Source organism: Homo sapiens, chromosome 7, assembly GCF_000001405.40.
Source record: "Homo sapiens chromosome 7, GRCh38.p14 Primary Assembly".
NCBI classification, from domain to species: Eukaryota; Metazoa; Chordata; class Mammalia; order Primates; family Hominidae; genus Homo; species Homo sapiens.
In genome coordinates, this window is record NC_000007.14 from 39,825,586 (window position 1) to 39,852,682 (window position 27,097).

General features: G+C 38.9%; 1 long non-coding RNA gene and 2 pseudogenes across 1 annotated transcript in view; 2 read left to right on the forward strand and 1 right to left on the reverse strand.

The window, feature by feature from the left end:
• The first annotated feature begins 5,174 nt into the window (after positions 1 to 5,174).
• LOC101928688 (uncharacterized) overlaps positions 5,175 to 27,097 on the forward strand; it is a 68,479-nt gene continuing 46,556 nt past the window's right edge. Inside the window, exons 1-4 of the long non-coding RNA XR_001745176.2 lie at positions 5,175 to 5,393; positions 10,506 to 10,627; positions 11,115 to 11,326; positions 21,614 to 21,686. This is a non-coding gene — a long non-coding RNA (uncharacterized LOC101928688). The remainder of the gene's footprint in view (positions 5,394 to 10,505; positions 10,628 to 11,114; positions 11,327 to 21,613; positions 21,687 to 27,097) is intronic.
• On the reverse strand, positions 7,701 to 8,208 carry LOC100422519 (pleckstrin homology domain containing B2 pseudogene; annotated as a pseudogene).
• On the forward strand, positions 7,786 to 9,330 carry SSBP3P1 (SSBP3 pseudogene 1; annotated as a pseudogene).

Sequence of the window (27,097 nt, forward strand, 5' to 3'; positions counted from 1 at the left end):
CCTGGCTGGGATGGATTGAGATGGCTGAAGATTTTACACTACTCAGAACGGCATGCAACTTAAAACTTATTTTTTTCAAACTTTTCATTTAATATTTATGGATCATGACTGACTATGGGTAACTGAAACCACAGAAAGCAAAACCACAGATGTGATACCGTGAAATACATATTTGGTCTTCAACTCTGTTAAAAGAAAAACTTCAGCTATATTAAATTTAAAGGAATTTAATTGAACAATGAACAATTCGTGAATCCAGCAGCCCCCAGAATCATGGCAGATTCACTGAGACTCCAGCACAGTCACATGGTAGAAGAAGATTTATAGGCAAAAAAAAAAAAAAAAAAAAAAAGAGGAAACGATGTCCAGTACAGAACAGCTGGATTGGTTACAGGTTGGTGTTTGCCTTGTTTGAACACAGTTCAAACACTCATCGGTGTATGAATGGTTGAGGTATGGCTGCTGGGATTGGCCAAGACTCAGTTATTGTTACAGGCACATACTCCTAAATTAGGTTTTTAATCTTGTCTACCTATTAAGCTAGGTTCCGGTTCATCCACAAGGACTCAAATACAGAAGTAAGGAGTCCTTCTCAGGTCACATTTAGTTCGCTTTAACAATTCCATTTCACGGCATACAACTCCTAAAATCCTTAGAATCTCCAAAGTGATGTATTTTTGTATGCTAATGATTGACTGATGGCTAAGCAGCTTCAGGATAGGGGCTGGTCACTGGAAAGATTAAGGCATGATTAGAGGATTGGAACTTCCAGCCTCCTGGGAGGGGAGAGGAACTGAAGATTAAGCTGATCACTGATGACCAGTGATTTAATCAGCCATTCCTGTGGAATGAAGCTTTCATACAAACCCAAGAGGATTGGGTTCAGGGAGCTTCCAGATACCTGAATAAATGGAGGTTTCTGGAAGGTGGTGCACCCTCTAAGGTTATGAAACTCTACACCCCTTCCCCAAACCTGGCCCTGTGCAACTCTTTATCTGTATTTTTGGTAACATTCTTTGTAATAGCCAGGAAATGCAAATTTTTTTGCTTCCCTAAGTTCTGTGAGCTGCTCTAGCAAATTAAACCCAAGGAGAGGTCATGGGAACCATAGCTTGAAGTTAGTCATTCTGGAGGCCCAGAATTGTGACTGGTGAGGGGAGGGGGCAGCCTTGGGGACTGCACCCCCAACTTGTGAGGAATTGATTTAGAGGACCCCCAGCTGGTGTCTGCTGCAGGATTGATTGATTGCTTGTTGGTGTGGAAAAGTCTTCCCCTCATTTGGTCACAGAAGTCTTCTGTGTTTGTTATTGTTGTACTTTGAGAGCAGAGAAAAAATACATTGTGGTCATTTTTTTTTCCACACATAGAATGGGTAAGGGGGTGTTACTGTGCATGCCTTCTAACTGCTCCTAGTCCATTAGTCCAGAAATCATGCTACGTTTGACACTGTTAGCTTATGATACAGATTTTGTTATTGATACCAGTGAGACTGATAGGGTTGATTTAGGATTATAATTGTACACAGCAGTTCCTTTTAAGGACCACATTTTGATAATTCCCATTCTTCCTTGCATTTCATAGATGCAAAGGAGGGGCAGTAAGAGTTCTTAATGCATTAATTTCCTACCAGTAGTATAATTAATATTCTAGTATAATCTCCAGGTATGGTCCCAAAGGAATACTTTGTAACAAAGCATCAGTCTTATGCCTTTTTAAAAAACAAAGTCTAAAGCATGCAGAAAAGTGTGCACGGTTTTTTAAAAATAAAGGTAGAGTTTTGCTCTGTTGTCCAGCCCGTTGTCAAACTTCGGGGCTCCTCAAGTGATCCTTCAGCCTCAGCCTACCAGGCACTTTTATGCTTTAAGTATTCTATGTGTTTCTATTGTTGATTTAAAAGGTATTTTACTTTTTTCTTTAACAGTGGATGGGAGTTCTGAAGACTCTGTAATCAGGTAGGATTTACAGATTTTAAATATTTATCTGTTAACTAAGGGAATAGAAGGAAAAGAAACGAACAACTGTTGATTGTTGCACCCCGTTGTGCACTCAAAATGACACATCATATTATGTACCTAACTCATTCCATATAGTCATCACAACAGCTTTGCAAAGTGTCTGTGCAATTACAACCTACTTTTTACTAATCAGGCAACTGTGGTTCAGAGAGGTTAATTGGCCCCTGATCCTATAATTAACAATTAGCTGACTCATAGAACAAGAGTAGAGACCTGATAGACCTGTGTATCTCTGGAATCAAGGTACAGGTCCAAATCAGATTAATTCAGAAAGTCACATTTAGTTATACATTAACTCTGATTTACACTTTTCTTTAGAAGTCTGATTAGTGCAAGAGTTTGTCCTATATAGTTTTGGCAATTTCAGTGCTAACCAGCAACATGTTTTTACCATCGAAGGTTTTAGGGCAGATCTCATTTAGCTACGGCCACAGAACCTTAGGTTTTACATAAGCAAGACCGGGCAAGTTTTAGAGACTTATTGGAAGAATTATTTTATTTTAAGTGAAAGATATCTACATATCCATGTTATGTTACATATCCATATTTACATATCTGTGTCATGTTAATTATATTTATCGTCTATTTACAGGCTATGTCTAGGTGATTTCTGTACTTAGACTTCCCGGTTTAATTTTCCCATTAGTTTACTCTGCCTAGTTCCATGAAGCTTTTTTCCCTAGAGATTTTTTTCTTCTTCCATTAGTTTTTATAATCTTCTCTTGAGTTTTTAACTTTCTTCTTCACTTTTCTTGGGGTGTCTTTTGTTCTATTATTTTTTCCATTTCTGCCAGCTAAGTGTTCCTTTTTTTTTTTCTGTAGACAGAATCAAAAGCACATAGAATTTCAGAACTTTAAGGAATCTTAGTGGCTAATCAAAATAACCTCTAGTACTTAAACCTGTGTTTAACATTCTGGTCAAGTGGTTATTCAGATGGAGAACCTGAAACTTAAGGAGGTTAAAGTGACTTATTTGGATACAGGAAGTGGCGGAAATGAGATTTGAACTCCTTTGAAAGCCCAGTCCTCTCCCTTCTTCATCATCCTGTCAGTGTGCATTTTAATAATAGAAAGGGAAGGTGGGAGTAGTGAACACAGTGGAAGAGGAAAAGAATGGAATCAACTGATGAACCCAATGGAAGAGGATAGGAATGAAAGGAGTAGGGGAAGGCCTAGTTTGAAGAGAACACTGAGGTAGGAACAAGGATTTTAGAAAAGAGGTCAGAATATTGGGGTTTATGACAAGTCTGATAGATTTTAGAAAGAAAGGGCACAGGATGTTGGGAGTTATCTAGAAAGGCGTATTAAAATAAGAGGTTCAAGGAAGTCGCAAACGAGTGGCTGCTTTTTTGGTTGTTTAATTGGAGCAGCTGACAAACTTCAGAGTTTCTATTGAATGATGGTAAAAGAATTTGAGTCACTGTGAAGAGTCTGCATAGCAGATAGGACTGCCGTATCATCTACTTTCATTGCAACTTGCAGAGGAGTGGCTCAGAGCCCCTCAAGTACCAGGGGACTAGAGTTTGCTGTACTTGACAGATCTGTGGCCCAGGGCAAGTGTCCCCTCACCTCTATTTCTTTTTCCAGTCTACTGACTTTTTCCCATGTCCATGCAGACTAGGGCAGGGGTAGGATTGGCTGTCAAATCAGTCATGGAGCTTCAGCTGGGTAGTTGAATCTGTTACCTGCTGGGGACAGATAACAGACTGCATTTAGCTTGTTTTCCGGGAGCAAGGAAATAGCTCCTACTCTTGGTTATTTGAGCCCATGCTTTTAGGAATTTGTGCTTCCATTGGCTGAAGATTTAAAGGTTGGAGACTGCCATAGAATCTTGCAGAAGAGGAATCTAAAAGGAAGGAAGATATTTAGATAGTACTTAATAGTAGTTAGGGACATAGAGCTGTACAACTACCAGGACTGTGTTTTTTCAGCAGTCCCTCTCTTTAGGTATCTGAGTGCCTATAAAGGTTGTTAAGGGCTTGCTAGTTTATGTGAACCTGAATAGGACAGGACCTATATAGGGAAAATACTAGGATTTTCTAATTTTTAATGTTTCAATATTTCTGAGAAGAATATTTTAATAACAACATAGACATTTGTCCTCTGACTTTCATATATTTAGCTTTCAATTATTTCAAATGTTTCAAGGTAAAGGTAAGCACTGAGGCCTTCTTTTTTTTTTGGAGACGGAGTATCACTCTGTCGCCCAGGCTAGAGTGCAGTGGCGCGATCTCGGCTCACTGCAAGCTCCGCCTCCCGCCCAGGCTAGAGTGCAGTGCCGCGATCTCGGCTCACTGCAAGCTCCACTCACTGCAAGCTCCGCCATTCTCCTGCCTCAGCCTCCCGAGTACGCCCAGCTAATTTTTTGGTATTTTTAGTAGAGACGGGGTTTATCTCGATCTCCTGACCTCGTGATCCACCCGTCTCGGCCTCCCAAGGTGCTGGGATTACAGGCGTGAGCCACCGCACCTGGCCCGCACTGAGGCCTTCTTAAGTGATTTCCGTGCTGAAGAACCCAGGCTGCCATTTTTGAGTGACAGAGATTAGTCTTTGAACCAGAAATAAATGAAGAAGAGGAGACTCTATATTTTTCTACCTTGTTTTAGATTATCAGGTTTGTTCCAGTTCAGGTATTAAAAATTATGTCAGCAATTAATTGGATTTTCAGCTCAGCCTGTAGGACATACAATTTGTGAAGACAAATTATTCTCAGACTATGCCAGTGTATTGGCTGCCATGATTTGTTACGGAACTATGCGTGGGTCTTGACTATTTCATAGGTTGGGAGAGGTGGAAATAGAAATAAGTAACTAAAATCTACAACAGAGGCCAAATTTTAATTTTCTTTTCTTTTTTTTTTTTTTGAGACGGAGTCTCGCTCTGTCGCCCAGGCTGGAGTGCAGTGGCGGGACCTCGGCTCACTGCAAGCTCCGCCTCCCGGGTTCACGCCATTCTCCTGCCTCAGCCTCCCAAGTAGCTGGGACTACAGGCGCCCGCCACTACGCCCGGCTAATTTTTTGTATTTTTAGTAGAGACGGGGTTTCACCGTTTTAGCCGGGATGGTCTCGATCTCCTGACCTCGTGATCCGCCCGCCTCGGCCTCCCAAAGTGCTGGGATTACAGGCGTGAGCCACCGCGCCCGGCCTTTAATTTTCTTAAGCAACATTAATATACAGATAGCTAGTCTCTCACCAGATTTGTTTCTATTTCTGTTTTTTTGGAGGTGACACTCAGGTATGGACCTGCAAATTACTTTCTTAAAGAAATGAACACACTCATTTTTGTTGTATATTTTTGCTCTAAAGGCTTTCCGGCAAACAGGCGATCAATGATTTACAGCCTACATCAGCTAAGGAAGACCGTGATTGTGATATCAAGGTAAAGTGCTCACATGTGAAATTAATTTTCTCATTATGAATCTAGTTTTCTATATAATTTACTCTTAAAATTTAGCAGTGGTCAACCTGTCATTGTTTTATGTTTGTAATGGAAAGTTGGTTACAAAAAAGCATTTTAAAGAAATATGAATAATTGAATTTGTAAAAATTGTACTTTGGTAAATAATAGATTGTTAAATACTAAGAGGGTGTGTGGGTGAGAAAAGGAATGTGCTGGAAAATGATTATATTGTGACAGAAAAATTATATTTGGCTAAGCTTTCTCACAATACAGGAAATTTGAAATGTGGTCAGGGTTTATTTGGATGAGTATGCTTTCTGTGACTTTTAAATTCATACTAACATGACTTTTATAATACTTATGCCTAAATAAATTCTTATCATAGTAATCATGGACTCTCCCTGGTGCGTTTTAGTTCCAAAACTGTACAGCAGATAGCATATAGTTTCTTTTTTTTTTTTGGACAGTTAATATTTTGGTATCATATACTTCTTAGGATAGCACTCTTTCCCTATTTCTATCCTTGGTTCTGTAATTAGACTAATACTAGAAATTGTGAAAATTTAGTTGAGTATTGTGGTACGTGCCTGCAATCTCAGCTACTTGGGGGTTTTAGGTGGGAGGATTTTTTGAGCCAAGGAATTTGAGACCAAATTGGCCAACATAGCAACACTGCTTCTCTCATATAAAAAAAAATTGTGGAAATTTAGAAATGTAAATTTTCTTTCTCCAAATGTACATTATAAAGGGATTCCATTGTGTTTTCTAAGTCACTTAATTAAGAACATACTTAAAACTCCTCAAATTGAAGAATTTGGACTAATGGGCTAGGACATGCTTTGCCCAAAATACCAACCAGTTCTAGCAGCAGAGACTCTTAATAACCATAAGGTAAGGCTTTGATTTCAGAATTTTTTTGCATCATACTTATTAAAGATTTACACTCAAAATCTTTGTATCACATTTAAAAACTCCAAATGTAAGAAGTCTTTGTATTTAGTTATTTAAATAATCACTTTAAAGCCCCTGCATTAGTATAAGCTACTGGAGGTTAGGAAACACACCTGTTTATATCCTGGAGTAGCTAGAATAAAGTATTGCCTGTAAGAAGCATTTTAATATTTTGTAATGTGAATACTTGAACAGACAAAAGGATTTCTATATAATGGAATGTTACAATTAACATGAGATACATACCTAATAATTAAATCTATGGCATTTCTAAAGTATGGCTTAAATGTATAGTCCCTTTCAATGTTTAGGATGTATAAATTCAGATGAGTTATATTGGGAAAATATGTCATAAATAAGAAAGAAATATGCCATCAAATAGGAAAGAGGGTTACAGTATACTTTGCAGTATCGTCCAACTATAAGCTTAGGTTAGGATTTGAGATTTAAAATTTTTAAACTTTTTAAACCCCAACCCATGTTCTACTAAATATATCTTTTCAAGCCATAGATTACACTTTAGAATTATGATTACTAATTATTTCTCCAAGTGGAAAGTTTATGGAACATTTCTTTTTCCATTTCTCTCTCCCTCTCTATAGTAATAATGGTCCATCTTTCAGGTAGTTGTAGATGACCATGTTTAAATACTTGAATGTATTGTTTTATGGTATAAAATTAAGCTCTTAGAGAAATATTTACAGCAAACTAATTGTAGAGTATTATTAGGGATATATTATAAACAAAAATCTCTGTTATATATCTGTATTTCCCCATGTACGTTAGCATACTTGATGATTTTCCTTTGGGTCCTGCTTGACAATGATTGATGTATATAAAAACTTTTAAATCATCAATCGGGATAATCATAGCTTTGTTTTTTTGTACTAGATCCTTTCTCCAACTTTTAACTACCATTCTATATGGTGTCAATGGGAAATTAGAACTATTAGTATGTTTACAGGGGAATGAGAAAACCATTTGATTTTGAAAATAGGATTTACATTTCTTTCTTACATCGTAGTAGTACCTAAAAATGCCTCATAATTCTATAATGACAAAAGCTTTTCTTACAATGTAAAACTTTAAAAATTAATTTTTAAAAAGGAGTGTTCTTGCAGAATTTTGAATTGAGGTCTTAGAATGAAATCTTTTCATTCAATATAAAATGTATATGACCATAATATTCCAAAAATATTAGCATATATTAAAACAAGTATATTTTATATCCTTGAAACAAATGTTGAAATATGTAATTGAGAGGGCGGCGGCGGCGGCGGCGGCGCTGGAGGCGCAGAGGGCGGCGCAGGCGGAGCCGGGCGGGCGCGCGAGCGAGCGGAGAGCGGGCGGCCGTGCGGGCGGCGGCGGCACCCCCAGGCCGAGCCGGCGCCGAAGGAGTTCCAGGGCGATGGGGCCGCGGCCCGGGCTGACGCTTTGACAGCTGGAAAGAGCGCGGAGCCAGCGCCTGGTGGGGAGGGAGGGGAGCGCGGCGAGGAGAGCGCCAGCGAGCGAGAGAGCGAGCGAGCGCCGGGGAGGGGGCCGGGAGCGAGGAGCAGCGCGGGAGAGCCGGAGCGGTAGCGGCGGCGGCGGCGAGGCTCGGCGCCCTCTTCCCTGCAAACCATGTTTGCCAAAGGCAGAGGCTCGGCGGTGCCCTCGGATGGGCAGGCTTGGGAAAAGTTAGCTTCATACGTCTACGAATATTTACTGCACGTAAGAGTACAGAAATCTGCAGAGACCTTCTTGTCGGAGATTCGATGGGAAAAAAACATCACGTTGGGAGAACCGCCTGGGTTTTTGCACTCGTGGTGGTGTGTATTTGGGGACCTTTACTGTGCAGCTCCTCAAAGGAGAGACACTTGTGAACATTCAAGTGAAGCAAAAGCCTTTCATGATTATAGTGCAGCAGCTGCCCCGAGCCCCGTGCTTGGCAACATTCCCCCCAACGATGGGATGCCGGGAGGCCCCATCCCGCCAGGTTTCTTTCAGGGTCCTCCGGGGTCACAGCCCTCGCCGCACGCACAGCCTCCACCTCACAATCCTAGCAGCATGATGGGACCCCACAGTCAGCCTTTTATGTCACCGCGATACGTAGGCGGCCCCGGGCCCCCGATCAGAATGGGAAACCAGCCTCCGGGAGGAGTTCTTGGGACACAGCCATTGCTGCCCAATTCTATGGATCCCACACGACAACAAGGCCACCCCAACATGGGAGGATCAATGCAGAGAATGAACCCTCCCCGAGGCATGGGGCCCATGGGTCCCGGCCCACAGAATTACGGCAGCGGCATGAGACCACCACCCAACTCCCTCGGCCCGCCATGCCCGGGATTAACATGGGCCCGGGAGCTGGCAGACCCTGGCCCAATCCTAACAGTGCTAACTCAATTCCATATTCCTCCTCATCACCTGGTACCTATGTGGGACCCCCGGTGGTGGCGGCCCTCCAGGAACACCCATTATGCCCAGTCCCGCAGATTCAACAAATTCCAGTGACAACATCTACACAATGACCTGGCGGCAGGTCCAACTTCCCGATGGGTCCCGGCTCGGACGGTCCGATGGGCGGCATGGGTGGCATGGAGCCACACCACATGAATGGATCATTAGGGTCAGGCGACATAGACGGACTTCCAAAAAATTCTCCTAACAACATAAGTGGCATTAGCAATCCTCCAGGCACCCCTCGAGATGACGGCGAGCTAGGAGGGAGCTTCCTCCACTCCTTTCAGAATGACAATTATTCTCCAAGCATGACGATGAGTGTGTGATCCCCCCTTCTCCGAGACGCTGAGAGAGCCGGCATTGCAGGCGGGAAGACGCCAGAAATTATGCAAGAAGTGAGGTGTTATTATCCAGGAGCTGGTGGGGAGGGCATCTCCCTGCTCCCCTAAACCCCCTCCCACCCCATCCACGCCCCCTACCTTTCCCAATTTTAGTTTCATGCAATAAAAAGGCCAAACTTTTTATTCCATAAAACATGAAGGACAAAACTCTCAAAAAAAAAAAAAGAAATATGTAATTGAGAAATTGAATCTCATGTTATTTCCCTCCTCTTCTTTCCATTTTCAAAATTTCAGACTTGTATATAGGTTTTCATGAGTTAATTCTACCAGTGCAGTATATTTTACAAATATTTCTTTTCTTAACACCATATGCTTTTCCCAAGTAAGGTCACCCACTCCTACACCCTGAGTGCCTCAATTTGACTTGTCCCACACTGAAGACATTGTCCTTGACCTTCTCCTGACTTTTTGTAATCTGCTCTGTCATCTGATTTTCCCATCCTAGGAAGTAACATCTAGTAAATAGAACTGAAACATTGAAACAGGAAAAATCTCGCATTCCAGCACTCCCTCAAATCACCAATCCAGTCACTCACAAGTTATACTTTTTCCACCTGCTTACCGTTTTTCATATCTCACTGCTATAATTCACTTTGACCCATCATTTTGAAATACTCTTGTCTAGTTTTGTCCCTCCCCCATCCCATGCCATGTTCAGTTATCATTACAATGCTGCCAGGGTGGCCTTTCTAAGATATTTTATGATGCTGTAACTCATCTGTTTATGAGTGGATCCCCATTACATGATGGGGAAGTTCACATTCTAGCATGGCACATATCTTTTGTGGTTTGGCCTGATTCTCCCATTTTATTTCTCCATCTCACTCCCTCTGACTAGGTTCCAGTTTTCCTGCATTACTTTAACACCCCTCATTTGCCATGTCGTTTCTCATTTCATGCCTCATACCTTTGCTCATACTGCCCTGTCTAGAAACCCTTCACATCCTCACTCTCTGCACTTTGTCCTTCTTTCAAAATAGGCCCTATCTTTGCAGCATTTCTGGAACTTCCCAGGTATAACCGACCATTGTTTTCTTTGAGCCCTTACTGTCCATTATTAACTTCAGTTGTAGAACTAGTGAACTATACTGTTTTGTTTTTGTTTGTTTCCATATATCTCTACCCCTACTCAAATATTAAGGAAGAGTCTCTTCTATATATGTTTTCAGCTTCTCCCAGGATATTGCCTATGATTCAGCAGACACAGTGAATGTTTGTTGTCTTACTGGTTGACTGATTGAGTGGGTGGGTGAATAAATACAATGTTTTCCAAAGCTTTTTGGTTTGTTTTTCATAGGAAGAAACAACTAAATCAGCAAGTGCAAAAAGACAAAATGATATTGATGTTATTGAAAGTGTTCCACAAGAGCAAACCAGTAACGTCAAATTTACGTTTTGTTCACAAAGATGGTAGAAGTGGTAAGTTAGTGAATATCTGAGAATTTTCCTGTGCTTAAATGCTGTTATTAAAAACCATTCAAGTAGATAGTCCCAAATGTCATATTTATTTCTTTTAAATAATTTTCCTGTCTTTCTTCATTCTAACACCTTCTTCTTTCTGAAACTATTATACTTCAACCCTCTGAAAGTGTTTTTGTTATTACTTTTATTTTATTGAAATTTTCATTAATGGAGACAGACTTGTATACGTATTTATTATGAAATGCACAGTGATAAATGTTCTCATGAATATATCTGTGAATAACATTTTATAGATACGACATCCACATTGGGATAAGAAGAGGGAGACATAGAATCACTTTTGTATTCTGGGGTATCGTCTGTCATTATTCTTGTTATTTCAAAATACAAGCATTCAGCGATGTTAAAACATAAAAGACGATGCCTTGACTTTACTTTCTCACCTCTGTATATGCCTAAAGGAATTATTTTCTTATATTTTCAGCCCAGAATTTAGAAAGTAGTAATCACCCCTAATACCAAACTTCCACTTAAGATTGAAGGAGAAATGAAGAAGCATGGAAGTAACAACATGGGATTATCAGAAAACTTGACTGATGCTGCTGGCAATGGTGTTGATGAACTAATTCCACAAAGAAAGAGTGAAAAACCTGAAAATCAGCAATTTCCTAGGACAGAGAATGAGAAGTATCAAAGGTAAGCCTATGGCAACATTTAACAGGAGATACTTACGTGCTATAAAACTAATCTTAATTTGGGCTAATATTCATGTTGAACAAATTTCATACTTTTACTGGGATATTCAGTCTTGCCTGGAATCAGAAAAATGCCAATCAGCAAACAATGAGTTACCACTTTTTCCAATCATTGATAATTTATTTGAAAAATAATAACCAGTATTGGCAAATGTGAGGGAAAAGGCATTTTCTTTTCTTTTCTTGTGAACATTTATTTTTTTTGCCATGTCATTTCATGCCCCATCTGACTTCAGGGTTATATGTGCAGTTTTGTTAGATAGGTAAACTGTATCATGGGGATTTGGGGTACAGATGACTTCATCAACCAGATAATAGGCATAATACCTGATAGGTAGTTTTTTGGTCCTCTCCCTCCTCCCACCCTCCACCCTCAAGTAGGCCCCAGTGTTTGTTGTTCTCCACTTTGTGTCCCTGTGTTCTCCACTTTGTGTCCCTGTGTTCTCATTGTTTAGCCACCACTAATGAGTGAGAATATGCAGTATGCGAATTTCTGTTCCTGTGTTAGTTTCCTTAAAATAATGGCCTCCAGCTCCATCCATGTTGCTTCAAAGGATATGATCTCATTGAAAAAGACATTTTCATAGACTGTCGGTACATACATTTTGAACGTTAATTTAGTAGCATGTATCAAAATTTCAGATATGTCATTCCTTTAACCTAAGAACTTCACTTCTAGGGCTAGACTCTACAGGAACATGACTTGTGTACACACACAAACATGTTAAGGACACTTACTACCTATACTACATAACACTCAAGGCTAATACACAAGCACACACATATATATATAACATATTAAGGATATATTTGTATGTTAAGGATATTTGTATAGATATGTTACATATATACTTGTAAATAAGGACATTTATTATAGCATTATTACATCAAAAAGTTGGAGCTAGTCTAAATCCTTATCAATAGGAAATAGCTCAGTTTTCATACCCAGAAAATAATGGAGTATGCAACCATTTTTTAAAAAATGAGGTTAGATCTAGAGTGTACTGATTATTTCACAATTAAAATGTATTTAAAGCATTTAGTTTGACGACACATCTGAAGACAATTTTGTTAGAATTCTTGTAATATCTGCTGTGTTGCAAATGGAGGCTACATGCCACATAGACACTGAACCTTGTTAACAACAAGATTGTTAGTTATTAAATTTTGGCTTTTTGTTCTCAGTGCCTGAGTCCTGAAATATTGGACCCTGAATCTGAATATTCCCAAGGGATTACACATGAGGATCTATATTCCATAGAAACATTTTAGTGTATTGGGTAAAACTTGTTAAAATACATCAAAGGATTTTTGATCTACTAAAGCAGGAGTTGGCCAGCTTTTTCCTCAAAGAGCCAGTTAGTAAATATTTTAGGCTCTATGGACCATGTTTATCTTTTTGAGGTAGGGTCTCACTCTATTGGCCAGGCTGGAGTCCAGTGGCATGATCATGGCTCACTGCAGCCTTGACTTTCTGGGCTCCAGGGATCCTCCCACCTCAGCCTGTCTACTAGCTGGGACCACAGGTGTGCACCATCACACCCGGCTAATTGGCTTTATGGACTACAACGTGAATAAGCGTGGCTGTGTTCCAAGAAACTGTACTTATAAAAACAGGAAGTGGGCTGGATTTGGCCAACAGTGCTGAATTGCTGACCCTTGTGCTAAAAGGAGGGTGCTGCTAATGCAGTGAATCCTCTTTGTAAAAGTACACTGCATGTATGCCATTATCCTTCCTTTGAAAAGAGAATATATTTCAGTATGCATCTCACCATATTTTTCAACAGTGACTTCATATGATTTAAAAAAATTTTTTTATAAAATAAGATTATTTTCTGGATTTGTCCCCTTTTATTCCCGTTAATAAAATAGTATTTTACTGTGACCAGTTACTTTATATATTTGATGAGTATCAACTGTTTTAGAATTGGCTTATATTTATCAAGCAAGAAATACTCCCCTTGAAACTTTTAGTATTCCTTGGTTTTTATGTATAGGCATGAACAAAATGATAATCAATTTATGCAATCTAGAAATGTTCAGGGGGACTTTTAGTGCTATAATTTTATGAATTTATTATTTAATATATTTCAGTCTGGCATTTTTAAATGCCATATATGTATAGTTTTAAAAACCTTGAAAACATAATTGTTTAAAATTATTATATATTTTTAAAACCTTAAAAATATTTAATAAAGTATGTAATTGTTATATAAAATTTGAAAACTACAGGTAAACAAGAAGAAAATTAGATAATCCATACTCGTGATGTCCCTGAAAGAACTGTCTACACTCACGGACTCAATTTTTTTTCCATTCATTTTTGATTTCATGCCAGTAGTCTTCAATCCCAGCACTCCTCCAAAGTTGTTTTCTCAAGGTTATCGCTAGTCTTCTCTCTAATAAATCTAGGCATTTTTTTCTTACACCTTATTTTATTTAACCTGTCAGCAATATTTATTTTATTTTATTAAATAAATATTTTATTTAACCTGTCAACAACCTAATGGAGGACACTCTCCTCCACGACAGTGTCTTCACTCGGCTTTCAGGACCTCACTCCCTCATCTGGCTTTTCCACCTGCCTTTCTAGTCCATCCATTATGGTCTGTTTTTCTTGCTCCTCCTCATCTTTCACTTTTTGCACATTGTTGTTTCCCAGGGCTCTGTCCTCGATCTTCTTTCTCATGACTTTTTCTACTGTGTGTATGCTAGTGATTTCCAAATGTATGTCTCCAGCTCAGATTTCTCTTCTTAATTCCAGACCTCCTGTCAACCTGCCTACTTGACATCTCTCTTTGGTTAGCTATTGGGTATCACACACTTGTCAGGTCCAACATTGGACTACTGACATCTGTCCTCACATCTGCTCCTCTTGTAGTCTTTCCTACTTGGGTGAATGGCAACTCTTCCAGTTGCTCTCCCAAAAAACTCAGCATCATTCTTGACTCATCTCTCTTTCTCTCTCTGACTCCTCACATCTAATCTAGTTGCAAATCTTGTTAGGTCTACGTGAACAGGTCTAGCTTTATAATAAGCTACATTCTTTATGTTAATCATTTTTCACTTAGGGAGAAAAGTCCAATGTTGTGGTTACTCACTATTTATTCTTTCACTGGTAATCATGATAGTTGTAATTACAGTAAAGTGAATCAAAGTAATTGTAAACTTTACTGGTATTTTATTTACAAAATAAAAATTAGGGTGGTAAATTTAATAGACTCAAAAATTGTTTCCAGGGGATTATGAACCTTCTGTATTTGAAATGAAAAGACAGAGTTGGAATTTTTTGCTTCCTGTAGTAAGAGCTATGCTGGTCAGGCAGGCACTATCTATTCTGATGGAGCAGCTGCTGATCTTACATAGGGTTTTGAGAGGACTGGACTTGAAGGATTGGCCGATTCCCGGATCCAAGTGGGTTGGCATCATCTGGAGCAACATGGTTATCTGAGTGAGACCGCTGGGGATTGGTTAGCACTTCCTAGCCTGTGGATTGATTTTGTGTCTGATTGGCTGTCTTTCAGAAGCAAGCTGCTCACACTGATGCTGGTTGGTGAGCGAGGCCAGTGGTGATTGATTGATCGATTGACTAGATTTAGAACTAGCTCTGGGTGGCTGCTTGTTACTATGACTACAGGTCAGTTCTTTCCTAAGTTTCAGGAAACTTTGACCAGAAATTTTCTGTTTAAAAGTTGCCTTTTGGCCCAGTGCAGTGGCTCACGCTTGTAATCCTGGCAGTTTGGGAGGCTAAGGCGGGCAAATCACTTGAAGTTGGAAGTTCGACACAGTCTGACCAACATGGAGAAACCCTGTCTCTACTTAAAAAATACAAAATTAGCCGGGCGTGGTGGCGCATACCTGTAATCCCAGCTACTTGGGAGGCTGAGGCAGGAGAATAGCTTGAACCCTGGAGGCAGAGGTTGCAGCGAGCTGAGATTGTGCCATTGCACTCCAGCCTGGGCAACAAGAGTGAAACTCCGTCACAAAAAAAAAAAAAAAAGTTGCCTTTCATCAACTATGTTCAAAATGAAAACTCTTTCATATTCCAGAATTGTAGACTTGATTTTAAAGTTTTAGTCAAGATGAATCATTTAATTCATCTTTAGAGATCTTTCAGGAAGATTCTTTTTTGATACTTAGTCTCAACCAGAAGAGTTTGCTACATAAATTATTTTTTAAAAATAATTGTAAGTTTTGTTTCTGTTTTTGGTATTCTTAGAGGCTTCTGCTCCAGTGCTAACATAATCTTCAGTGGGAGACTTTAGTCTCTTTGTCAATTTTTGTATGTATATGATAGTGATATTCTGTCTTCTTTCCTTATTTTGTTCACTTTCTGTTGCTTGCAATAATAGTGATATTCTTATGTGTGTTTACTTCATAAAAATGTAATTACAATTTTCTGCTGGCAAATCCAGCTTTTTATATTAGGACTAAATATTAGGCTAAAAGTGAAGAAAAATCACCAGAACATTTTCTTTTCTTTTCTTTTTTTTCTTTGAGACGGAGTCTCACTCTGTCCCCCAGGCTGGAGTGCAGTGGCGCGATCTGGGATCCCTGCAAGCTCCGCCTCCTGGGTTCACGCCATTCTCCTGCCTCAGCCTCCTGAGTAGCTGGGACTACAGGCGCCCGCCACCACACCTGGCTAATTTTTTGTATTTTTTAATAGAGACGGGGTTTCACTGTGTTAGCCAGGATGGTCTTGATCTCCTGACCTCGTGATCCGCCTGCCTCGGCCCTCCCAAAATGCTAGGATTACAGGCTTGAGCCACTGCGCCCGGCCCAGAACATTTTATTTTCAAACAAAATCATAACTAATAAAAATTGCTGTTTTGTACTGCATCTATCTATCTATCTATCTGTCTATCTATCTATCTATCTATCTATCTATCAATCATGACATTTAGATATTTTAAATTAAGGATTCCTCTCAATATGGTTTGTCTTTGTGTCTCCACCTAAATCTCATCTTGAATTTTAATCTCTGGGTATTGAGGGAGGGACCTGGTGAGAGGTGGTTGGATCATGGGGGCTGTTTCCCTGATGCCGTTCTCATGGTAGTGAGTTCTCATGAGATCTGATGGTTTTATGAGGGACTCATACCCCTTCACTTCTGTCTGTCCTGCCACCTTGTGAAGAAGGTGCCTGCTTCCCCTTCACTTTCTGCCATGATTGTAAGTTTTCTGAGGCTTCCCTAGCCATGCTAAACTGTGAGTCAATTAAACCTCTTTCCTTTATAAATTACCCATTCTCCAGTATTTCATCATAGCAGTGTGAAAACAGATTAATACAGCAAATTGGTTCCGGTATAGCGGAGTACTGCTACAAAGATAAACTGAAAACATGTAAGCAACTTTAGAACTGGGTAATGGGCAGAGGCTGGAATAGTCTGGAGGGCTCAGAAGAAAACAGGAAGATGTGGGAAAGTTTGGAACTTCCTAGAGACTCGTTGAATGGTTTTGACCAAAATGCTAATATTGATACGGACAATGAAGTCCAGGCTGAGGTGGTCTTAGATGGAGATGAGGAACTTGTTGGGAACTGGAATAAAGGTTATTCGTGCTATGCTTTAGTAAAGAGACTAACAGAATTTTGCCCCTGCCCTAGAGATCTGTGGAACTTTGAACTTGAGAGAGATGATTTAGGGTATCTGGTGGAAGAAGTTTCTAAGCAGCAAAGCATTCAAGATGTGACCTGTTGATTCTGAAAGTATTCAGTTTTATGTGTTCACAAAGAGATGGTTTGAAATTGGAACTTTTGTTTAAAAGGGTAGCAGAGCATAAATTTGGAAAATTTGCAGCCTGACCATAGGGTAGAAAAGCAAGTCCCATTTTCTGGGGGTGGAATGCAAGCTGGATACAGAAATTTACGTAAGTAACGAGTAGCCAAATGTTAATTGCCAAGACAATGGAGAAAATGTCTCCAGGGCGTGTCAGAGATCTTCATGGCAGCCTGTCTCATCAGAGGTCCAGAGGCCTAGGAAGGAAAAATGGTTTCATGGGCTGGTTCCAGGGCCCTACTGCTATATGCAGTGTCAGGACTTGGTGTCTTGCATCCCAGCCACTCCAGCTCCAGCTATGGCTCAAAGGGGCCAATGTACAGCTCAGGCTGTTGCTTCAGAGGGTGCAAGCCCCAGGCCTTGGTGGCTTCCACGTGGTGTTGGGCTTGTGGGTGCACAGAAGTCAAGAATTGAGGTTTGCGAACCTCCACCTAGCTTTCAGAGGATGTATGGAAATGCCTGGATGTCTAGGCAGAAGTCTGCTGCAAAGGCAGATCCCTCATGGAGAACCTCTGCTAGGGCAGTGCAGAAGGGAAATGTGGGGTTGGAGCTCCCACACAGAGTCCCCACTGGGGCACTGTCTAGTGGAGCTGTGAGAAGAGGGCCACTGTCCTCCGGGCCCCAGAATGATAGATCCACCAACAGCTTGCACTGTACACCTGGAAAACCCATAGACACTCAACACCAGCTCATGAGGGAGCTGCCCAAGGCCATGGGAGCCCACCCCTTGCATCAGCATGCCCTGGATGAAAGACATGGAGTCAAAGAAGATTTTGGAGCTTTAACATTTAGTTACTGCCTTGCTGTATTTCAGACTTTCATGGGGCCTATAGCCCCTTTGTTTTGGCCAATTTCTCACATTTGGTAATGGGAGCATTTATTCAATGCCTGTACCTCCATCATATCTTGGAAGTAACTAACTTGTTTTTGATTTTACAGGCTCATAGATGGAAGGGACTTGCCTTGTCTCAGATGAGACTTTGGACTTGGACTTTTGGGTTAATGCTGGAATGAGTTAGCACTTTGGGAAGTCATGATTGGTTTTGAAATATGGGGACTTGAGATTTGGGAGGGTCCATGGGTGGAATGATATTGTTAGGCTTTGACTTTGTGCCTCCACCCAAATCTCATCTCAAATTGTAAGGTGTTGAGGGAGCGACCTAGTTGGAGGTGATTGGATCATAGAATTGGTTCCGCCATTCTGTTCTCATGATAGTGAGTTCTCACATGAGATTTGATGGTTTTATAAGGGGCTCTTCCTCCTTTACTTCTCTCTCTCCTGACACCTTGTGAAGAAGGTCCCTCCTTCCCCTTCGGCTTCTGCCATGATTGTAAGTTTCCTGAGGTCTCCCCAGCCATGCAGAACTGTTAGTCAATTAAACCTCTTTTCTTTATAGATTACCCAGTCTCAGATATTTCTTTATAGCAGTGTGAAAACAGACTAATACACTCCCCCTCAAGACATTTTCCTGATTTCATCTTTCATGTTATATGTGCCTCATGCTATTTTCAGAACTTCATTTGAAGGCAAGCATTATTATATTTAACAACAAAATCAGAAATATAGCAGAAATCTAATTATGACTTTCATGTAATATAGTCATTGCTTGTATGCAGTGGACTCCAGCTTTTTAGTGTAGCATTCAAGTGTAGTGTGGCATTCATCTCCTATTCTTAGCTTCCAAGTATTTTACACTTTTCCTTTCAAGTTTCTAGGAAACACCTGGACTTCATGTGCCTAATCTTTGTGCTCACTTTCTATTCTTTAACTGGAATGATTTTCTCTCACTGGATTTCCCTATGAGCTCCTCTTAAATTTTGCCTCTTCTCTAAAGCATTCCTTGTGCTAAAATATAACTTTTTATATTATCAACTCTGTCTTAACACATTGTATCATAATTGTATATTACCTTGTTTTTGAAGCATGGAATGCACATTTCCTTTTATGTTGCTTGTACTTCATACCTGTTTTTTAAATTAATAAATTGAGATGGGGAAGAGGTGTGGTTTTACAAAAATTGGGATTTTTGTTCATTGTCATTCGAGTTATTAGAAAACATTGGCTTTTTATAGAGTTTTAAAAGTAGTGGTTTTTGCCTTGTGTATGAAGAAAGTAAAGAAACATAAAAATAAAAAGTGGACCTCAAAATAATCTGTGATTACACCCATGTTAGAGAAGGCAGGCCAATTTACTAGCTAATGGTCTGCTACAAGTAAATGATGATAGCAATTTAAGTGAAATAGGTGAGGATGAAGAAAAGTAAAATTTATAAGTCCTTTCTAAGAAATCTCTGAAAAGGAATGTTAATAATGATTACTTTTTCTGGAAATAGAATAGTGTAGTCTGCCAAAGCTGGAGAAGACTCAACTATGTCAATGCTGTTGAAAGATTGATTACGATAAGGATTAGTGACTTTGACTAGGAGTGGTTTCAATAAATAGTAGCCATGGAATGCTGACTGTAGTGGATGAACATAGTCAACTCTTGAGAGAAACTTTACTGGGAAAGGCAATAAAGAAATGAGTAATAACTGAAGAAAAATGTGAGATACTAGGAAGTTTTCTCTCTTTTTATATTTTAAAACAGAAGTTTATAGAGTACGTTTGTTTGCTTTTGGGAATGATTCATAAGAGAAAAACATGTTTATGAAATGTAATTTTGTCTGCACGTCTAAGCATTAGCTTGATTTATTATCTTTTATACATTTTTAGCAAACTAATTGTCCTTAGAACTTCTGTTTATGTATAGTTTTATGTTTAGAGTTTTTTCCTTCAGAGCTTATTCAGAAATGTAACATATTAGTGTGACTGAACATGCAGATGATTACTTAAACTGTCATACACAGATTTTTAAAAATAATTTAATAACATGCACACACTTAGGCCATACTAAATAGAATTAAAATGTTCCTTCATAATTGTACATATTGCACTACCTTTGACAGTAGCATCATGAATAGCCATGATTTGCAAGGTAATTACTCTAAAATATCAGGTGTATCAACTTTACAGTTGTTTAGATTCTGGGGAGAAGGAAACGATTTTGTTCATTTACTTTAGAAAAGCAAACTACTGACAGTCTCTCACAGATTATTACTTCAGGATTATAAAGTTCTAAAGTGTCAAAACCATGTTTCCCTGGGCCAACAGTGTCATCAGCACGCATTGTGTGCTCAGTGAGTATTTGTTGAATCCATGAATAAACAGTTGAATAGATGAATGAATGAATGCCTGTTGGTGGATTTCTTTTAAAAACTAAATTTTTAGTTTTTTGAAAGTAGGTTTTCAAACTTGTCTCTGTAAAAACTATTTTTATTTAAAAAATGCAAGATTCAGAAATTATTAGTTATAATTACAGCCAGAAATAAAATGATAATGTGGATTCATCTGCTATAATATCTCTTAAAAACACTTGAAAATAAATACTACCTTCACAGCATATTGTGAAACACATATTTTGGAGGCAGAATTCTTGGGTTTGAATTCTGTGTATACTACTGACCAGCTGCATGGGATGGGGAAGGTTATATGGCCTTTCTGTGCCTAGTTTCTCTCTTTATAGAATCCTTAATATGTTACCTACCTCACAGAATTGTTATGATGATTAAAATGAGCTGGACACATGCACAGTGCTTAGAACAATGCATAGTGCCTGCATAGGAAGTCCTGAAAAAGCTAATACCATCATTAAAAAAGGGTTCCCCTCGAATGAGAACATAAATAACATTTTCCAAATAGATTTTAGTGCCAGTTAGTTTTTATTGAAAAGGGCAATAATGAGAAGTCCTGGTGTATTTCTTTCTATCACATAATGCAAGTAACATATTTTTCCTTTTGCCTTGATGTCAGAAAGCTTGATCTAAATTCAGTTGTTTGTAATGATATTATTATTACTGTATTTTCTTTCTCCCTTAATGTTACTCTTTGTTTATAGCTTAATCCCCCTTGTGAAAAATTATTATGTTTTACATTGCCTGTAAAAAAAAAGACCTGAACACTGAATGAATAGAATAAATAACTTATAAATGCAGATATTTTATATAACTAAACAATAATTTTAGATATGATTTGTATTTTGTGTATTTACTATTTGTCTAAAAGGAATTTGTCTAAAAAAAAAACTAAATTTTTTTAGGCCTCCAATGAAAACATCTGATGAGAAGAACAAGTTATTGTAAAAAGTACATTATCTGAAGCATTATTGTTTAAAAAAAACTACATTATAAAAGGTAGTGTGAAAAAACAGAGAATCTTTTGTTATAAAGACATTTACTTAGAAAAAGGTGATTAAGAAACAGTAGCCATTGATAACAGTACCTTTTTAAAGAATCTGTTTTAAGAAGTTCCTGTGGTTTTGCTCATATAAAAGATGAATAAACACCACTTCTGTACATCTAATACATGCTATAAATATTTTGAGGACCTTTTGAAGTAGAATTATTTATCTTACAGGTTAAAAGACAAATATATTCTGTGAATGACCTCGACGACTTAACTTGGCTATCTGAAACATCCTCCGAGGATTGTGAGTTGCTTTACTCTAATTATGAGACTTTTATGTTGCTCATGAGCAACTTGGAATATATTGTAACGGGAGGACCATTGCATAAATACAAGGCCTTTTCATGTATCCTACAGTAATGTGTGCACACACTGCTTAGCATTGCACCACAGAGCACTGATATGTGACAGTGTTGCTCATCTCAGAAATATGCTCATTGTTAAAATAGACTGAGAAATAATGTATATTGTACACCAAAGAGCTATGATAACTCCACTGTACTTTTCTCAGTGTGAAGGGCAGTCCTAGCCCTCTTGCTGATTCTTCTTCTCTCCTATGCCTTCCCTCCAGATCAGGTAGCCATTCTCTCCCACTCGGAATACTGCAATAATGTTAGAACTGTTTTTCCTGCTACCCCACTTCCTGAGACCATGGTCTACTAGGAAAATACAATTATATATTTTTAAAAATTCAGATCTGATCATGTTGCTCCCTTGATTATAACTCAGCTTACCACCTGCCGTTGCTATAAGGTTAAAGATCTGAATTCTCTAGTTTTATCCTGCATCATTTCAACCCTTTTTTCCTGTGTCCTAGTCACTGTCTTAGATATTTACTCCTGCAATCAATAGCTTTAGTGAGGTATAACTGATATATGATAGACTGTATGTATATAAAATGTACAATTTGGTAAGTCTTGGCATATTTATGCATACTTGAAACTATCACCAGAGTCAAGAGAGGTAACATATCCATCATCCATAGAATCTCTTCCTGTCCCTTTGTGTTCCCTTATTAAGAAACTGCTGGCCAGCGGGCGTGGTGGCTCACGCCTGTAATCCCAGCACTTTGGGAGGCCGAGGAGGTCGGATCATAAGGTCAGGAGCTCGAGAACAGCCTGGCCAACATAGTGAAACCTGGTCTCTACTAAAAATAAAAAAAAATAGCCAGGCGTGGTGGCGGGCGCTTGTGATCCTAGCTACTTGGGAGGCTGAGGCAGGAGAATCGCTTGAACCCAGGAGGTGGAGGTTGCAGTGAGCTGAGATCACGCCATTGCACACCAGCCAGGGCAACAGTGTGAGACTCCGTCTCAAAAAAAAAAAAAAAAAAAAGAGAAAGAAAAAGAAACTGCCGGCTGGGTGGGGTAGCTCATGCCTGTAATCCCAGCATTTTGGGAGGCCGAGGTGGGTGGATCACGAGGTCAAGAGATCGAGACCATCCAGGCCAACATGGTGAAACCCCGTCACTACTAAAAATACAAAAATTAGCTGGGTGTGGTGGTGTGTACCTGTAGTCCCAGCTACTCGGGAGGCTGAGGCAGGAGAATCCCTTGAACCCAGGAGGTAGAGGTTGCAGTGAGCCGAGATTGTGCCACTGCACTCCAGCCTGGCAACAGAGCGAGAGTCAGTCTCAAAAAAAAAAAAAAAGACAAGAAAAACAAAAGAAAATGCCAAATTGTTTTCCAAAATATTTGTACTATTTTCCATTCCTATTAGCAGTATGACAGGTCTCATTGTTCTATATCATCACAAGCTCTTAATATTGTTTTTTGGTTTATATTTTTAGCCATCTTGATGGGTGTGTATTGTGCGTGTCATTATGGTGTTGATATGCGTTACCCTAAGGACTAACAAAGTTGAGCTTTGTCCCGTGTGCTTATTTGCTTATTTGCCACCTGTATTACATCTTCTTTAGTGAACTGTCTTTTCTAATCTTGGTAGCTTACAAACATTTAAAAGTTAGATAGTTTGTGTTATTTGTTAACTTTTAAGAGTTTTTTGACCGGGGCCGGTGGCTCATGCCTGTAATCCCAGCACTTTAGGAGGCTGAGGAGCATGGATCATCTGAGGTCAGGAGTTCAAGACTAGCCTGGCCAACATGGTGAAACCCCGTCTACAAAAATTAGCTGGGCATGATGGCAGGTGCCTGTAATCCCAGCTACTTGAGAGACTGAGGCAGAAGAATTGCTTGAACCAAGGAGATGGAAGTTGCAGTGAGCCGAGATCATGCCATTGCACTCCAGCCTGGGTGACAGAGTGAGACTCCATCTCAAAAAAAAAGAAAAGAGGGGGGAGTTCTTTATAGATTCTGGATATTATTCCTTTATTAACTATGTTTTTTGCAGGGATTTTTCCCCAGTCTTTGGGTTGGCTTTTTTGTGTTTTTTAATAGCATATTTTAAACACAGAAGATTTTAATTTTGGTGAAGTCCAATTTATCTGTTTATTTATGGATTTTGCTTTTTGTCTCGTATCTAAAATATCTTTGCCCAGCACAAGGTCTCAAAGATTTTCTCCTCTGCTTTCTTGTAGAATATTTATTTATTTATTTTTATTTTTTATTTTATTTATTTTTTTTTTTTGAGAAGGGGTCTTGCTCTGTCACTCAGGCTGGAGTGCAGTGGCGCAACCTCGGCTTACTGCAAACTCCACCTCCTGGATTCAAGCGATTCTCCTGCCTCAGCCTCCCGAGTAGCTGGGACTACAGGTGTGCGGCACCATGCCTGGCAAATTTTTTGTATTTTTAGTAGAGATGGGGTTTCACCATGTTAGCCAGGATAGTCTCAATCTCCTAACCTCGTGATCTGCCCGCCTTGGCCTCCCAAAGTGCTGGGATTACAGGTGTGAGCCACTGTGCCCGGCCTGTAGAATTTTTATAGTTTTAGGTCTCACATTTAGATCTGTAATCCACATTGCATTTATTTTTACATACGGAGTGAAGTGTGGATGCAGGTTCATTTTATGGATGTGGATATCTAATTGTTCCAGCAGCATATGTTGAAAAGGCTGTCCTTTCATTGTCCTACATTGCCATTGTGCCTTTGTGAAAAATAAGTTGACTATATGTGTGTGGGTCTATTTCTGGACTGTTTGCTGTGTTCCATCGTTCTACAGATTCTCCATGAGTTACCCTGATAAACTGATCTTAAGTTGAAAATCTATTTAGTACCCCAGTAAACCCATCATACAGTTGAAAAATTGCAAGTAGAACCATCTTAATTTGGGGTCCTTCTGTATCTGGCTTTCTTTATGTAGGTCTAGCATCCCTAATCCAAAATTCCAAAATCAGAAATGCTCCAAAATCCAAAACTTTTTGGGTGCCAACATGATGTCACAAGTGGAAAATTTCACACTAGACCTCATGTACACAAACTTTCATTTGAAAATTTACTAAAAGTACTCCATAAAATTGCCTTCAAGCTCTGCGTATAAGATGTATGTAACATGTATGTGTTTTGTGTTTAGACTTGGGTTCCATCCCCAAGATATCTCATTATATATATGCAAATATTCAAAAACTCAAAACACTTTGGTCCCAAGCACTTTGAGAGATACTCCACCTACAGCAGTATCACACTGTTTTGATTACTGTAAATTTATACTAAATCTTGAAATCAGCCCTTCAGTTTTCTTCCTTTTTAAGGGTTGTTTTGACAATTCTGGATCTTTTGCATTTCCACATGAATTTTAGAATTAGATTGTTAATGTTTTTAAAAAGCCTGCTATGTTGGGAATTACACCAAGATTGTGTTCAATCTATAGATTAATTGGGGGAGGATTGACACTTTAACAATAATGTATCTTTCCACTCCTGTAGAGTTGTTTCTCTCCATTTATATAGGTCAAATTTAATTTTCTCAGTAACATTTTTTAGTTTTTTTGTATGTCTTTACATATATATATATATATATATATATATATATATATATTTTTTTTTTTTTTTTTTTTTTTTTTTTTTTTGAGACAGAGACTCACTTTGTCACCCAGGCTGGGGTGCAGTGGTGTGATTGTGGCTCACTGCAACCTCCACTTCACGGGTTCAAATGATTTTCTGGCCCCAGCTATCCAAGTAGCTGGTATTACAGGCATGAGCCACCATGCCCGACCAATTTTTGTATTTTTAGTAGAGATGGGGATTTCACCATGTTGGCCAGGCTGGTCTTGAACTTCTGACCTCAAGTGACCCACCTGCCTCAGCCACCCAAAGTGCTGGGATTACAGGTATGAGCCACTGCACCTGCCCTTGGTTTTTCCATATTTTATCAGATTCATCTGTATCTCAATTTTTTTGGTGAAGTTGTACATGATATTTTTAAAATTCCAGTTGATTGCTTATTGCTAGTATATGGGAATATAATTGGCTTTTGTATGTTGATTTTTGTATCCTCCAATCTTGCTAAACTCATGTATTAGTTCTAGTAGCTTTTTTGGTAGATTTGATCAGATTTTCTGTGTACACCAAAGGTTATCAAAACTTTTCATTCTCAAACTATTGTCTTACTAAAGATAGGAAATCTTTTTTAGACTTGTCACAAAACAGTCTCTGCTGCAGCTAATCAACTTTCCATTGTAGTATGAGAGCAGCCAGGGAGGATACATACATTAATGAACACAACTGTCTTCCAATAAAACTTTATTTACAAAAACAAGAAGCTGGCCCATTGGTTGGAGTTTACCCACCCCTATTATGTGATCATGCTTGTGAATAAACACAGTTTTACTTCTTCCTTCCAACCTGGATGCCTTTTATTTCTTTTTCTTGTCTGACTTCACTGGCTGGAATCTTCAGCACAAGGTTTATTTACTAAAGTTGTGAAAGCAGACATTCCCGTGTTGTTCCTGATATGGGGAAAGCATTCAGTTTTTCATCGTGACACATTTTTCATCATGACACATTAGTTGTAGGTTTATCATAGGTGCTTTATATCATGCTGATGAAATTTGTTTGTATTCTTAGGTTGCTGAGAGGTTTTTTTTCTTAAATCAAGAATTAATGTTAAATTTTATCAAATGCCTTTACTCAAATATCATATGGTTCTACTCTGATATTTTAATGTTAAACCTTGCATTTTAGGAGAAACTCAATTTGTTTATGATGTAGTCTCCTTTTAAAATGTCACTGGAGCCAGATACGGTGGCTCACGCCTGTAATCTCAGCACTTTGAGAGGCCAAGGCAGGAGGATTGCTTGAAGCAGGTGTTCGAGACCAGCCTGGGCAACAAAGCAACATCCTATTTCTATTTACAAAAATAATTATATATATAATTTATATGTACATATAAATTGAGTTACATATGTAGTTTTTATATATATATATATATATATATATATAAATTGAGTACAATTAGAAAATTTTTAAAGCATTTTTAGTGTAGTTTTAAGTTCACAGCAAAATCGAGAGTCAGGTGCAGAGATCGACCAGGTACTCTCTGCCCCCAGACATGTATAGCCTCCCTCATTATCAGTATGCCTCACCATAGTGGTACATTTGATATGATTGATGAACCACAAATGACATGTCATAATCATCCGAAGTTCATAGTTTATATTAGTGTTCATTCTTGGTGTTGTACATTCTGTGGGTTTGGACAAAGACCTGTATTCATCATCATAGTATTTTACAAAATATTTTCTCTGCTTTAAAATTCCTTTTTT